Consider the following 15,795-nt stretch of genomic DNA (forward strand, 5'->3'; position numbering starts at 1 on the left):
CTAGAGAGAAGAGGTCAATGCCTGGTTTCAAAGCTTTGAAGCCTAGGCTGACTGTCTTGTTAGAGACTAATGCAGCTGATAACTTTAAGTTGATGCCAGTGCTCATTTCCCATTCTGAAAATCCTAGGGCCCTTAAGAATTATGGTAAATCTACTCTACTTGAGCCCTGTAAGCAGAACAACAAAGCCTAGATGACAGCACATCTGTTGGTAGCATAGTTTACTGAATATTTTAAGTCCACTGTTGAGATCTACTGCTCAAAAAAATATATTCCTTTCAAAATATTACTGCTCATTGACAGTGCAGCTAGTCGTCGTCCAAGAGCTCTGATGGAGATGTACAAGGAGATAAATGTTGTTTTCATGCCTGCAAACATAACATCCATTCTGCAGCCCATGGATCAAGGAGTAATTTTGACTTTCAAATCTTATTATTTCAGAATTACATCTTATAAGGCTATAGCTGCCATAGATTGATGGATGTGTGCAAAGTAATTGAAAAACCTGGAAAGGATTGACCATTCTAGATGCCCTTAAGAACATTTGTGATTCATGGGAGGAGATCAGAATATTGACATTAACAGGAATTTGGAAGAAGTTGATTCCAGCCCTCATGAGTGACTTTGAGGGGTTCAAGATGTTAGTGGAGGAAGTAACTGCAGATGTGATGGAAATAGCAAGGGAATAAATAGAGCCTGAAGATGTGACTGAATTACTTCAGTGTCATGAAAAAACTTGAACATATGAGTAGTTACTTTTTATGGATGAGCAAAGAAAGTGGATTCTTGAGATGGAATCTACTTCTGATAAAGATGCTGTGAACATTGTTGAAATGACAACAATGGGTTTACATAAACTTAGTGGATAAAGCAGTGGCAGCATTTGAGAAAATTGACTCCAATTTTAAAAGAAGTTCTAGTATGGATAAAATGAAGCATTGGATGCTCCAGAGAAGTTCTTCCCGAAAGGAAGAGTCAATTGATGTGGCACACTTCACTGTTGTCTTGTTTTAAGAAATTGCCACAGGCCACCCTGCCTTCAGCAACCACCACCCTGATAAGTCAGCAGCCATCAGTATTGAGGCAAGACCTCCCACCAGCAAAAGAACTACAGTTTGCTGAAGGCTTAGATGATCATTAACATTTTTTAGCAATAGAGTATTTTTAGATTAAGGTATGTACATTGTTCTTTAAGACATAATGCTACTTAGCACTTTACTACAGTATAGTGTAAATATACTTACAGTATAGTGTAAATATACTTTTTATGCACTGGGAAACCAAAAAATTCATGTGACATGCTTTATTCTGATACTCACTTTATTTCAGTGGTCCAGAACCACATTTACAGTATCTCCAAGGTATGCTTGCATTTCTTGTCTGCTTTTATGTGAACCAAATAAGTTATAATCCTCTATTAAATACCTTTCTTTTCTGTAGATACCTCCAAATTACAGAATGAAGCTTCTGTGTTTTTTCAACTTGGAGATTAAATAATGGTTTTAAATTGAGGCACATGCATATACTGTAAGGTATATTAGTCTCAGATATACTACTCAGTGAATATTTTCTTAGATACATACCTATATAGTCGCCACACAGATCCAAGTATGCCGTATTCCCAGCACACCAGAAGAAATCTTTGTTCACCCTTTGAGTCATTACTACCTTCTGTAGGTATCCACTGTTCTGACTTCCATTTCCATCAATTTGTTTTCTCGTTTTTCAATTTCATATTTCTGACTTCTATTTCCATTTCTATTTTATGAAAATTCAAAAAAGGCAAAACAATTTTATTTATTTATGGTTTGTTATCTTTTTTATCTGGCTTCATTTGCTGAAAACAACTCCTACAAAATTCATCCACATTGTTACGTTATCACCAGTTTGTTGGGTTTCAGTTCTGTGTAGTGTTCCATAGTTTGAATGGACCACAATTTATTTATTCATTTTCTAGTTTATGGACGTTTGGATTATTTTTATTTTGAGGGAGTAGTTATGGATAAAGCTTGTGTGAGCATTTTTATACATCATTTTGGTAGACATATGTACTAATTTTGTTGGCTATATACAAGGAGTGGGTTTACTGAGTCATAGGGTAGGTATATGTATTTTTAAAATAATTATTTTATTTTTTTTAAGTTCTGGGGTACATGTTCAGGATGTGCAGGTTACATAGATAAACATGTGCCATGGTAGTTTACTGGACCTGTTAACCCATCACCTAGGTATTAAGCCCAGCATGTTTTAGCTCTTTTCCCTAATGCTCTGCTTCCCCACCCTCCCCCAACAGGCCCCAGCAAGTATTGTTCCCCTCCCTGTGTCCATGTGTTCTCACTGTTTGGCTCCCACTTATAAGTAAGAACATGCAGTGTTTGGTTTTCTCTTCCTGCGTTAGTTTGCTAGAATAATGGCTTCCAGCTTCATCCATGTCCCTACAAAGGACATGATCTCATTCCTTTTAATGGCTGCATACTATTCCATCATGTGTATGCACCATTTTCTTTATCCAGTCTATCATTGATGGGCATTTGGGTTGATTCCATGTCTTTGCTATTGTGAATCGTGCTGCAGTGAACATATGTGTGCATGTATAATATACTGATTTATATTCCTTTGAGTATATACTAAGTAATGGGATTGCTGGGTCAAATGGTATTTCCGGTTCTAAATCTTGGCGGAATTGCCACGCTGTCTTCCACAATGGTTGAACTAATTTACATTCTCATCAACCATGTAAAAGTGTTCCTGTTTCTCCACAACCTTGCCAGCATTTGTTGTTTCTTGACTTTTTAAATAACCACCATTCTGTCTGGCGTGAGATGGTATCTCATTGTGGTTTTGATTTGCATTTCTCTAATGATCAGTGATGTTGAGCTGTTTTTCGTATGTCTGTTGGCTACATGTATGTCTTTTTTTGAGAAGTGTCTGTTCATATCCTTTGTAGGGTAGGTATACGTTTAACTTCAGTAGAAACTCCAAGCAGTTTCCCAAGTTGTACCAGTGTATTCACCCAAAAGCATTAGGTGAGAGTTTCATTTGCTTCACATTCTCAAGAACACTTCCAGTGAGTGAAGTCTTTCGCCATTCTGGGAGGTGTATATTTGTGTATCATTGTCATTTTAATTTGCATTTCTATGGTGCTGATGATGCGCGAGTGCTTCTATATATGTTGACTGGCCATTTGGATATTGATATTCTCTTTTGTGAAATTTCTCTTTAGATCTTTACCCCTTTAAAAAATTGGATTGTTTGCCTTATTTATTATTGATTTATAGTAATTCTTTATATTATGTATTTTATATACAAAACTTTTGTGGGATATATGTATTGGGAATATCTTCTCCTGGTCTGTGGCTTATCTCTTACTGTTTTAATCTTAATGGTGTCTTTTAGAGAACAAAAGTTCCTAGTTTTCATGAAGTCCAACTTATTTTTTTCTTTAGTAGTTTAGTGCTTTTGAATATTAATTTACAAAATCTTTGCCTACAGGAAGATCACAAAGATATTGTCCTACATTTTGTTCTAGAAGTTTTATAGATTTATCTTTCACTTTTTTTTTAGGCAGGGTCTTGCTCTGTCACTCAGGTTGGAGTGCAGTGGTGCAAATATAGCTCAGTGCAACCTTGACCTCCTGGGCTCAAGTGAGCCTCCTGCCTCCGCCTCCCTTGTAATTGGGACCACTGTGCATGCCACCATGTCCAGCAATTTTTTGATTTATTTTTATAGAGGTAGGGTCTTACCATGTTGCCCAGCCTGGCCTCACACTCCTGGGCTCAAAGGATCCTCCCGCCTTGACCTTCCAAGGTGCAGAGTCTATAGCTGTGAGCCACCACACCTGGCTACCTTTCACTTTTAGATATGTGATCTAGAATTAATTTTTGTTCATGGTGTGCAATTGGGATTAAGGTTTTTGTTTGTTTGTTTGTTTTACTGGTTTACAGTGCTCTAGCACCATTAATTGAAAAGATTGTCTTTTCCCTTCAGACTTTCAGTGGTCTTTTTCATAAACTAAGTGACTGTTTATATGTGGATCTGTTTTTGGACTCTGTTCCATTGGTCTATTTATGCATTCTTTGGTTGTTGTCAGACTCTCCAATATAATAAATTTTGAAGTCTGGTAGTGTCAGTTCTCAACTTTGTTCTTAAAGATTGCCTTGGCTAGTCTAGGACCTTTGCATTTGTATGTAATTTTTAGGATCCTTAGGTCAATTTCCACAAAAAAACTTAATGGAATTTTGATTTGGTTTGCATTGTATCTATAGATTAATTTGGGGAGGATTGGCATCATAGCAATATTGAGTCTTTTGAACCATGAGCATGATATATTTCTCCATTTATTTACATCTTAAAATTTTTTTCTCAATTTTTAGTTTTCAGTTGTAGATGTCTTTATTCATTGGTATTTTATTTTCTTATGTTATTGTATAAGTGGTGTTTCATAAATTTCATGTTTGATTGTTGTTGTTAGAAATAGAAATAGAAAAATCTTGAGCTTGTATTAAACAACCTTACTAAATTTGCTTATTCGTTGTAGTTGGTATATAATCATGTTACCTGTTTTCTTTTTGATCTTTATACTTTCCCACCCTTTTATTGCCTGTTTTCCTGACTATAACCTTTAGTATAATGTTGAATAGAAGTGATGATAGTGGACAATCTTCTTTTCTCTTTAACCTTTGGGGAAGTATTGAACATTTTACCAATCTAATAAATAGATTGGTATTAGTGGTAGGTTTGTGTGTATGTGTGTGTATATTATTATTACTATTATTTTTGGTAATAGCTACCTTTTATCAGATTAAGGAAGTTCCCTTCCATTCCTAGGTTACCAAGAGCTTTTTTTAAAAAAACGATAAATGAATGTTAAATTCTATCAAATACTTTTTCTGCATCTATTGAGATGATCCTAGAATTTCTCTGCTTAATTTTGTTAATGTAGTGAATTACTTTTTAAAAAAATTTTAATTTCTTTTTAAAGATGGGTCTCACTTCACTGTGCCTGGATATTACTTAGGTTTATTTTTGAATGTTGAACCAACACTGTATTCTTGGAATAAACCCCACTTGATTATGTATATTATGTATATTATCCTTATATATTGCTGGGTTTTCTTTGCTAAATTATCATTTTTATTTTTAAAAGTTTTCATCTGTGTTCATGAGAGATGTTAGCCTATAATTTTCTTTTCTTGTGTCCATATCATGTATGCATATTATTAGGCTTATGCTGGCCTCACACAGTGCTTAGGAAGTGTTTTCTTCTCTTTCTATTGGCTAGAAAAATAGTACAAGATTGATTTCTGTTATTTTTAATCTGTATGATAATCTCTTTTTCTCTTTTTAAAATTTGTGAAATAGTCATCAAAATAGAGTATGGTTGTCTTCTTTTGCAGCTGAAGAAACTGAAGCTTATAGAATTTAAGTACTATTAGATAGCTGGTGGTTACTGCTCTGTATTGAAAACCAGTTCTGTTTTACTTCAAAGCCTTTGCTATACAGTATACATGGAGGAAAATGAGTGACCAGGTGATCATATGGGGATCTTAAGAAATACCAGAAGTTGTTCTTTTGGAAACTTGTAAGCTTCTTTTAAAATCTTACTTCCTGTCGGTCTAAGAAGGGCACTCTTGATGAATGCTTCTTAGTTGTTTGTGAGGGTTGTGGCTTAAAGTAGCTAAGCTTTATAATTCTGTTGGCTCTGTCAAATGAAAAGTCTATCCATTCCAAAACTGAACAAATAAGTTTTATTTCTGTGTGAGAACAAATGGTTACTTGGAATTTACTGGGATTTTTCTTTTTCCAAATCCACATAGTACTGGCAACATCTTTTTTTTCTTTGATGTTAAGATATTTCCAACATTGATTCTTTACAGTATATGATAGGTCAAGGGATTCCATTCATCATATACTGATAGGTCCAAGGATGAGGGAAAAACTTCATACAAGGGAAATATAAGGTGAGTTTTAAGATGAATCTAGTACCTTATTTTCCCACAAGTCCAAACATTATTACTTTTTTATATAAGAAAAATGTTTAGCTGTTGTTTCATGTGGAAACATCTTTTCTTCCTTTAAGTGATATAGAATACTTGAAAAACTATTCCTTGTTTTCGTTACCAAAGAATTTAGGTTTTCTAACAATTGTTTCCTAATGACTTCTCATTCTGTAGCTATTTACATTTTTTTCTTGAAGATTTTATTGGAAATGTTTGGCGTCTTTATGAGTTTTCAGCAAGTTTTGATGTCGTTTAATCACTAAAGTTTATACTATGCCAGTGATGTTATTTTATTTGCTTAATATGAAAAACCTCAATAAGTTTGTCTCATTTCCAGTTAACTTAATTAGAACATTTGGCTCCCTCTGAAACTGCTTCTCATTTTTAAAGCAGAAGGTGTTATTTAGTGAAACCTACAAAAGAATAATGTTAGAGAAAATTGTACTTTTTAGCTGAAAAATGTTCTGTGTTAATAAATTTTAGAGCTAGAAACTTTTTCGAGAGCTCAGTTAATCCTTCTGGGACTTTTGAAATTGCTATCTCAGTGGCAGTATTTCTTGACAAATACAGTATTGAGTGCTTTTAATGATCTTTTGTTAATTATATATGGCTCCGACAGTAGAGATTTGAGTTTGGCTTAAATGAATAAATACTATTTTTACCCATGGTCACCTTAAAAATTGGAGTTAAAGTGTTGGCCTGCTGGTCTTTTTCCTTCTCTTTAGTTTTGCTAGTAATAGTAAGTTTTATTTGCCATTGTATAGGCTTAATTGGTTAACATGTGGCTGCTAATATTTAGTAAGGTTAATTTTTAGTATGAAAATTAAGAGTTTCATTTTGGTTTTTATATAAAGTGAAGCTATGTATTAATAGATTTGGTAGTTAATTATGCTGAATAACAAAAGTCTAATATTTGGATGATCAGTATATTAGTAGAATTAGAAATACTTGCTCTTGAAGTTGTTTAAAAATTGAGATAGAAAAAGAGGAAGTTGATTTTATTAATGCTGTAAAACTGTCAAAAATAAGTATTTAGAAAGGCATATTTGAGTGCTAAATTACTTATGAACTGACAACTGTTAATTCTTTGCTTAAAATTAAAATCAAAGTATAATGCCATTAAAACAAGTATAGAAAAGGCATGCCAGTTTCCCCCATATTTAGGGTATTATTTTTCAAAACATTTGCTGAATTAAAAAAAGGTTACTTAAATTTCAAATGTGTGTTTTCCTCTAAATGAAAATTTTCCCTTTTTCCTCAGTGTTTTTCTGATGTTCAAGTGGCAGTAGGTGTGGGAAGCCGTTGCAAGCAGTATCTCCCAAGAGTGAGCTTATTCTCCTATTGTAGATATCAGGATATCATTGCTTTCCTTTTCTGCACTGTATCATGTTTTAGTTATTTTATGGAAATCTATCAGAGTGGAAGAGCAAAAGGTCAGTTGGAAGAGAAAAAAGATGAAACTGAAACTAAAAGTGGTTAAATATACTTACATTAGGTATCAATTACTACTTGTATATTATCCATGTTACATTTTAAATTTGCATTGGCTTTTTTGTTGTTCTTTAGGTACCTTGCTAGGATTATTGATTTTGTTCATTATGAGCAGATCTGAGTGCCTATCATGTACATAATATTTCTGTGACCAGTTCATTCATTGTGCTCAAGTGATAATAACCAATTTTAATATTAATTCTGTAAAACATATAGCGCTTAATATTCCTCACATATGGAGCTTAATCTTCCCCCACAAATTTTATTTTGTATATTTTAATTGCAAAAATAAAGGATTTATTCATATTGTAGCTAGTTTGCATCAGCATGAATTAATAAGTTTCACTATTTTTCTTGTTAGCATTTTTAAGTTTTATTGAATTAGATGGGTAAATGAATAGTAATTATATTATCTGCAGTGTAATTATCTTTGATTTCAGTTATTCACACCATCTCTTTACAAGTGATAATCAAAAATTATTTCAAAGTTTGAAAATTTTTAACATAAAATTTCTGCTCAATTTTTATACTTTTTAAATTTCCTTCAAGTAATATATGCACATAGTTAACAATAAGATAGTACCAAAAGACTTAAGGTGAAAAATAGCAGTCTTCTTTCTATTTCTGTTCCACTCTACAGTCCTGCACTCCAAAAGCAATTACTCCTAATTTTTTCCCCATTTCTTAAGGTATTTACCTACATAATTTAAAATAATATGGCTCTTCTACTAATTTTTTGGCTTAAGCAGTTTTCTTATGATAATTGAAGAGTTAGCTCTTTTATTATGCCTCTCTCCATTCTTTCTCCATTCTCTTGCTATAGTTATGTCATGAATTTAAAATCTATTTTTGGTATTTATATTACTTGATTATGGAAATACTGTTTATTTGTGAACTAAGTAGTTCACTTTTTTTTTTTAAAGCATCCAGTGTTACTATTAATAAGTAGAAAGCCATTCTGATTTCTCTCTGGAAGCGTTCAAGATTTCCTTTACCCCTGGTGCTCACAAGTTTTGTGATGCTGTGCTTTGATAAGTGTCTTTTTTTCAACCTTTGTGCTGATATTTGATGGGTCTTTTTACTTTTTAATTTTTGGGGAAAAATTCATGTGTGTGTTTTTTTTTCTCTTCCCTTTTTTTGATTCTTTCTGGGCTTCCTGTTAGTTGAAAATTCTGTTCCCTAGGTTAATTTGCCTAATTTTTAAAGTGTTTTTCTCCTATAGTTTATCTCTTAGGCTTTTTGTCTTATTTTTCTAGTTGTCCTTCACTTCATCTTTCTGTCCGTCTACTGAATTATAAAAATTGTATTATCATAGTTTTAATTTCTTAGAGGGGTTCCTTATTCTCTGTTCCCATTTTAATATTATGTCTTTGATTCATGGGTACAACATCTATTCTTATTTTTCTGAGATTATTAATAAGAGTTTATTGATGTCATTCCTCCTACTTCCTAATTTCTTTTGGCACATTTTGGTCTTTGCTTTTCTGTTGCAAGCTTTTGTCAGATTCTTCAAGTCTTAGTTCTTGCAAAAGCAGAATCTAAAATACCCTATCTTTGGTTTATTTGGAAGGTGATTCCAGGAATTATAATGAGAGAATAAGGAGGTGAGACAGGGAAGAGAAGAAGTCCAGTAAAAGGTGTATTGATTTTGTGGGTTATCGTTTGGAGCAGCTGGAGCTCAATACTGCTGGAGACTTTCAGAGAGACTGTGTAGAACTGCACTGTCTAATACTAATCACTAGCTACATATGGCTATTAAAATTAAAATTAAAATGAATGAAATTAAGTAAAATTAGAGATTCAGTTTGCATTCACACCAGCCACACTTTAAGTGCAGATGTAGAACATTAGACAGTGCAGATATAGAACACTCCAATTCAGTCCAGTCCAGTGCAGATATAGGACATTTCCATCATGGTTTATAACATACCTTAGAATTGTACCATGGAGGTTCAGGAAAACTGACCTATTTATCTACCATCATCTGTCCCTTATTGATTAAGAGTTGCTCCTAGAGTTACTGACTCCCTGTCACTTATGGCCTGCGCCACACAGGGGCTGTGTCATTTCTGCTACCTTACTCATTTCCACTGGGTACCTAGTAACACCAAATGCAGAGTTTCTCTAGTTCATTTTTTTCTAGAGATCCAAATCCTGGTCTTCTGTCAGTCTGAGGCAAGTAGTCACTTGACTGAATGTGGTGGAGGGAAGATAGTCTTTTATAAGTATGCAGATTTTTAACCAAATTGCTCATATTTTTTTGGGGAAATCTTACCCCAGTATCCCATGGCAACTGTTACATTCGAGTTCCAAGCCTTTGGAGGATTCCATGGAGTAAATTGACTTCTTATTCTTGTCCTTTACCACAGGCATTCTGATTGCAGTTTTCCCTGATCTGCAAATTACTACCACTCTGTAGCTTAAGAAAAATTATGATATATAGTATTTCAAACATGTGGAGAAGTATAAAGAAAAAATATGCTTGCAATTCATATAGTGCTGGGATAAATTCAACTAAGCCCTGTAGGGTTGTCTTTTTTTTTTTAATACCAGGAATCTTTTGTTTAAATTTTAGGAGACTTGTCACCACTCAGTGATATCAAGGCTGCTGGGGTTATTATGTCCTTTTTCTTCTCCTTTGCTGTGTTTAGGTGGCTACTAGTTTATTGAGAAATTTTTGGTCTATTTGCATAAGAGATCTTAGCATATTATAATGTTCTTTCTATGTAACATTTGTCTGCATTTGGTTTTGATGTCCAGGTAACACTAGATTTATGAAAAAAGTTTGTGTTACCTCTTTTTCCGTTATGTGGAACAGTTTGTACAAAATTAATATTAGTTGTTCCTTAAATGCTTGGTTGAACTACCCAGTTTAGGCCCGGTTGTTTGTGTGTGTGTGTGTGTGTGAGACATTCCTTCTTACTAGTTTAATATTTTTCTTTTTAAAACACCTTAAATGTAGTTTTTTCAGTTAGAGTCTGTTAGTGGTAAGTTCTTTTTGTGTTTCTGGAAGTTTCTTTGTTTAACTCTCACTCTTGGATGATAGTTTAGCTGGGTATAGAATTCTGACAAGTCTGTTTTGAGTTTTTTCTTCCTTAAATCTTTTGAAAATTTTCTAAGTTTTTTCTTATTTTCAGTTTGGCTTGATGACCATGTGGCTTGATATGTGGCCTGAATCTTACTTAAATATTAGGTCTATAGATTTAACAAGTGAAAACTAATTTTTATAATTCATTTCCTAGTTTTTATTTAGATACCAGCAATATTCATGATAAAAAGTACCATATAGTCTCAGATATCTTTAATTTTAATGGTTAGAATTATGTTAAAATATTAAACCAGCATGTCTGAATCATGACTACATAATAAAGCCTATTGATTTAATTGGTTTGAGGTGGGAGTCCAAGCCTGTATTTTCTTTCAGTGTGCTCAAATAATTCTAATGTGCAGCCAGAGGTTAAAGAACATGAAGTTACAAATTGAGCTGTAAATTCAGAGATATTCTAATACAAATCTCAACTGTCTTTTTCTTTTTGTTTTGTTTTTATTTAAAAAGTTGGCAGCCTAAATTCAAAATGTATGTGGAAAGACAGATCAATAGTCAAAGCAATAAAAAAGAAGTACATCATTGGATTTATAGTTCCTGATTTTGAGATTTACTTAAAGACAATGTGGTATTAGTGATAGAATGGATATTATGGACAATAGACCCACACATACATATTCAGTTGGTTTTTGGCAAAGGTGGTAGGGCATTTCAAAGGAGGAAGTAATAATATTTACAACAAATGTGCTGGAAAAACTGTATAATACGTATGTAATAAAATGTATACTGACTCTTACCTCACATCATGCAGGAAAGGTGAACTTAAAATGTGTCATAGACCTAAATTTAAAACTAAAAAAAGCTGTAAGACATCTAGAAGAAAACATAGAACACAGAAAACACAAACCATAAAAGAAAAAAATTCATAAACTGGACCTTGTCAAAATTAAAACCTTTTGTTCTTTAAAAGTTATCAATAAGAAAATTAAAAGATAAGGGTTAACATAGGAAAAATATTTATAATACATATATTTGAGAAACGACTTATATATTGGATATATAAAGAACTCTTACAACTCAATGAAAAGAAAATAATTGACTCAATTTAAAATAGGCAGAATATTTCAGCACTGCTACTACATTCTAGAAGATTTGAACATGTACCATTTTCATTCCTTGGAAAATAGTTTGGCAGTTTAGCATATGATACTGGAATTCTCTCCTAGGTATTTATCCAAGAGAAATGAAAACAGATATCCACACAAAAATTTCGTCATGCATGTTTATAGCAGTTAATTCATAATAGCTGTAAACTGGGAACACCCAAATATTCATTGCAGATGAATGGTTAAACAAATTGTGCTCTATCCCTACCAGTAGAAGGGAATGAACTATGAACACACACATGGATAAGTCTTAAAACATTAACAAAAACATGACGCTAAATGGAGGAAGCCACATACAATATATTCTGTATAATATCATTTATATGAGATTTTAGAAATCAAAAACTAATTTATGGTGTCAGAAAGCAGATCAGTGACTTGGGGTAGTGGTAGGAGAGTTTGACTGCAGAGGCACATGAGGTATCTTTTGTTGGTGATGGAAATGTTTTGTATTTTAATTTTGTTGGTTGTCACACAGTTGTACAACATTTGTTAAAAATAATCAAACTGCACATTTTAAATGGGTGTATGCATATTTTATTCAACAAGTTTGACGAAGGAACTTAGGAACACTAAGTTGGACAATCTCATGAGCTTTTTTTGTGATTTCAAATCCATGTTAGTGGTTAAGCTACAATGTTTATTGTTGAATGTGGGTATTTACTATGGAGGAAGTGTGTGTATGGTCTTAGCTCATTTACAAATAAAATATTTTAACCTTTAATTGAATATTGATATAGCATGATGTTAACTTTATGTTACAGTTACTTTCTGCTGTGTATTACTGGGAATGTCTTTCGGTACTTATATAGAAATAAGGTAAAAAAGCTATACAATTAAAAATGTGGCAATAGTCACTTCAAATCTTTTATGTGTGCCTACTAAAGCAAACAAAATACTAAACTTGTTTTATATGTGTTCAATAAACTGCTGAACAAGAAAAGGATGCAATGGCCATGTTGTTAGACTGTTGGAGTAAGTGTAATAGCAATAACCTACCTTCCTTTTTACCTTCCTTTCTCCCCCTCTCCTTCCCTTTGTTTCTCCCTCCCTCCTTCACTCCCTTCTCTCCCTCTTCTACCTATCCTTATTTCCCTTTGCTGGTGACAGTGCAAGTTGAATTTGTACACTGATCTAGATTCAGATTAGTATAATAAATTTTTAAAAATATCAAGTTGAATGAAGAAGGAAAATTAAAATTATACAGTACCTGAAACTAAAAGGCTAAATAAATGGATTCATCTTTTAAAAAAAGTTACATTTTCTGAGCATCTATAATTCAGTTAAGAAGGTGACTGAAAATTGCAGTTTACTGGATGATCTTGGGAAAATTACTCACTGTGTTTCTCAGTTTTCTCATTTGTAAGACAACAATAATATGTTGAAAGGATTAAATGAGGTAATGTATTTAAAGTGCGGGCACATAGTAACTACTCAATAATTATTTGCCTGTCATCATCATGGTCATATTCAAAGTGAAATTTCTTCCACATCTGACCTTGGCTATTTTAATATATGTGTTACTAAGCAATATAATGTATTTTAAAGAAAAATACGGTGATATGCCACTTTCAAAGAAACAAAAAAGATGTGCATTATAAATTTTAGATCATAGGTGAAATTGTACTTATTATCAATTCATTAGGTGCATACAATACACATTTAGATAGGAGCATTGTTAATTCATTTTTAGAGTTTTTGACCACTTTCATACATTTCAAAATGGCTTTGAAGACATAACTGCAGTTTTCATATTTTTCATACTTTAGCATTTTGGTACATGCCATATTAGAATGTATCTTAGACATCTGATAAGTGTCAAGATTTCCCCCTTACTCTGTTATCTAGCAAATATTGAGTACCTGGTATGTACCAGGTGCTGGGGATATAACAGTGAAGACAATCTAGATGCCTCTGTCATGGAACTTAGATTTCATTGTTTGGGGAGATACTGGGGAGGAAAGATTGGACAAGACAACACATAAAATAACAAGATAACTTCAGATAGTAATAAGTGATGAGAAGAAGAAAATGGGATGATGGGGTAGAACATGCCTGGAAGGACTAATTTGGGTTGTGTGGTTATAGAAAGCCTTTGTGAGATGACATTTGAGCGAAGACCTGAGATGAAGAGTCCTGAAAATCTGGGGATGGATTTTCTAGTCAGTGGGGACAGGAGTTCAACTGCATCTTAGACCTGATGAACTTGGTATATTTGAATTCTTACAAAAGATGAATATTGCTAAAGGATGGTAATTAGGTAGAAGACTAATAAAGTAGAGGAGGGTGGAAAGATAGCCAGGACCTATCTTTCACAGATAGCCTTGGGCATCATTTCTTACTGAGTCTGTGAAGCTTGATGCCGTAAGCAAAGAGAAATATGGAAAATAAGTGGTTGGTATTAACGGTGTGGCTTTTAGGAAACAGGCAAAATATCCTGGAAGATTTTTATTGGGGATTTGGAAGTATAATAAAATAAATAATCATTAACTTTGTATGCCGTGGGGAGAAACCAGGTCTGATTATTGACTTCTCTTTAGGGAAACATCAGTTTGTAAAATGTGTTTTGAAAGCAGCAGAGGAGGTAATATGGGCATACTACTCTTTCCCTCCCATTAATTCTTTAGACTTCTTCTTTGATATTTTACTGAGAGTGTGGGGTTTTCCCCCTGTATATATGATATTTGTGATGAAGAAAGGCAAATAATTTAGCTAGAGTTCAACACTTTGTTTCCTACTCTTTGGTCAAAACATAAATAGTATTTGGATACCTTATAGTAACATACAAGGAGAAGTGACTAGAGAGAGCTTGTTTGGTTAAGATCACTCATTTAAGTAGATTAGAAAAGTATACCTATGGAGAAGCATCCCTTGGAAGGTAAGACTAGGTTATTTTATTTAGCCTTCTTCTTGGTTGCAATGGTTTGGATGCTTGTCCTCTTCAAACCTCATGTTGAAATTTGATCTTCAGTGTTAGAGGAAGGGCCTAAAGGGAGATATTTGGGTCATAGGGATGAGTCCCTCACAAATAGATTAATGACTTCCATTGGGGGTGAGTGAGTTCTCCATTAATTCCTGGAGGAGCTTGTTGTTAAAAAGAGCCTGGTACTTCCTTCCATCTCTCTCTTGCTTCTTTTTTTGTCATGTGGTCTATGCACACTGGCTTCCCTTCACCTTACCCCATGAGAGGAAACAACCTGAGGCCCTCCCTAGATGCAGATGTCCATTCTTGAACTTTCCAGTCATCAGAATCATGAGCCAAATAAATCCTTTTTCTTTATAAACTACCCAGCCTCAGGTATTCCTTTATAGCAACAAAAAATGGAATAAGACATTGGCTAAGTCCTATTATAAATATATATAAGTATTTAAATGTGTTTTTTACATATGGGGACAGCTTAGAGTCTCAAATATTAGACGTACCTAAATGTAATACATGGCTTCTAGACTGGATTCTATAAGCAGTACTATAAAGAATGTTATTGGATCAGCTGACAAAATTGTACTAGTACAGTAAATCTGATGCAGGTATTTAGTGATGTTGATTTTTCTGGAGTCGATAACTATAGTGTGGTTATGTAAGAGAATATTCCTCATCTTAGGAAATTTACATTGAAGAATTTAGGACTAAAAAGCATGATGTAAGCAACTTACTCTAAAAAAGTTCAGGGGTGAATTATATATATATATAGAGAGAGAGAATGTAGGTGTATGTTAATAATAAAACAAATAGGACAAAATTTTAACAATAGATGGATCTGGATAAAGGACATATAGGAGTTCTATGCACTAATCTTATTTTTGCACCTCTTCTGTAAGTTTAAAATTATGTCTAAATAAAATACTAAAAATGGGTTAAAGTTATTTTTTGTTTAAAAATAATTTCAAAATGTAGCTATATCTCATTGTCAGAAATACTATCAATTCTATGTTGAGTTTATCAAGCAAAATTCCAATGTTAGTACAATGATCAAGTGTTAAATATTGGGTTACAAACTAATATTTTTTGAATCTAGAGGTAGAAAAGATTAGTGTGGATTGGATGTTAGAACTGTGAAAAAAAAGTGCAGAGTGGTGAGGTAGTTAAGAGAAACT

General features: G+C 33.2%; 1 protein-coding gene and 1 long non-coding RNA gene across 12 annotated transcripts in view; both read left to right on the forward strand.

Moving 5' to 3' along the window:
- PDE3B (phosphodiesterase 3B) overlaps positions 1-15,795 on the forward strand; it is a 255,518-nt gene that overhangs the window by 49,592 nt on the left and 190,131 nt on the right. The window lies entirely within an intron of this gene.
- LOC107984315 (uncharacterized) lies at positions 2,875-12,643 on the forward strand. Its single transcript, XR_007062606.1, has 2 exons — positions 2,875-5,579; positions 7,259-12,643. It is a non-coding gene; the product is annotated as an uncharacterized LOC107984315 (long non-coding RNA).

The sequence above is a fragment of the Homo sapiens genome, chromosome 11, assembly GCF_000001405.40.
Source record: "Homo sapiens chromosome 11, GRCh38.p14 Primary Assembly".
In the NCBI taxonomy this organism is placed as follows: Eukaryota; Metazoa; Chordata; class Mammalia; order Primates; family Hominidae; genus Homo; species Homo sapiens.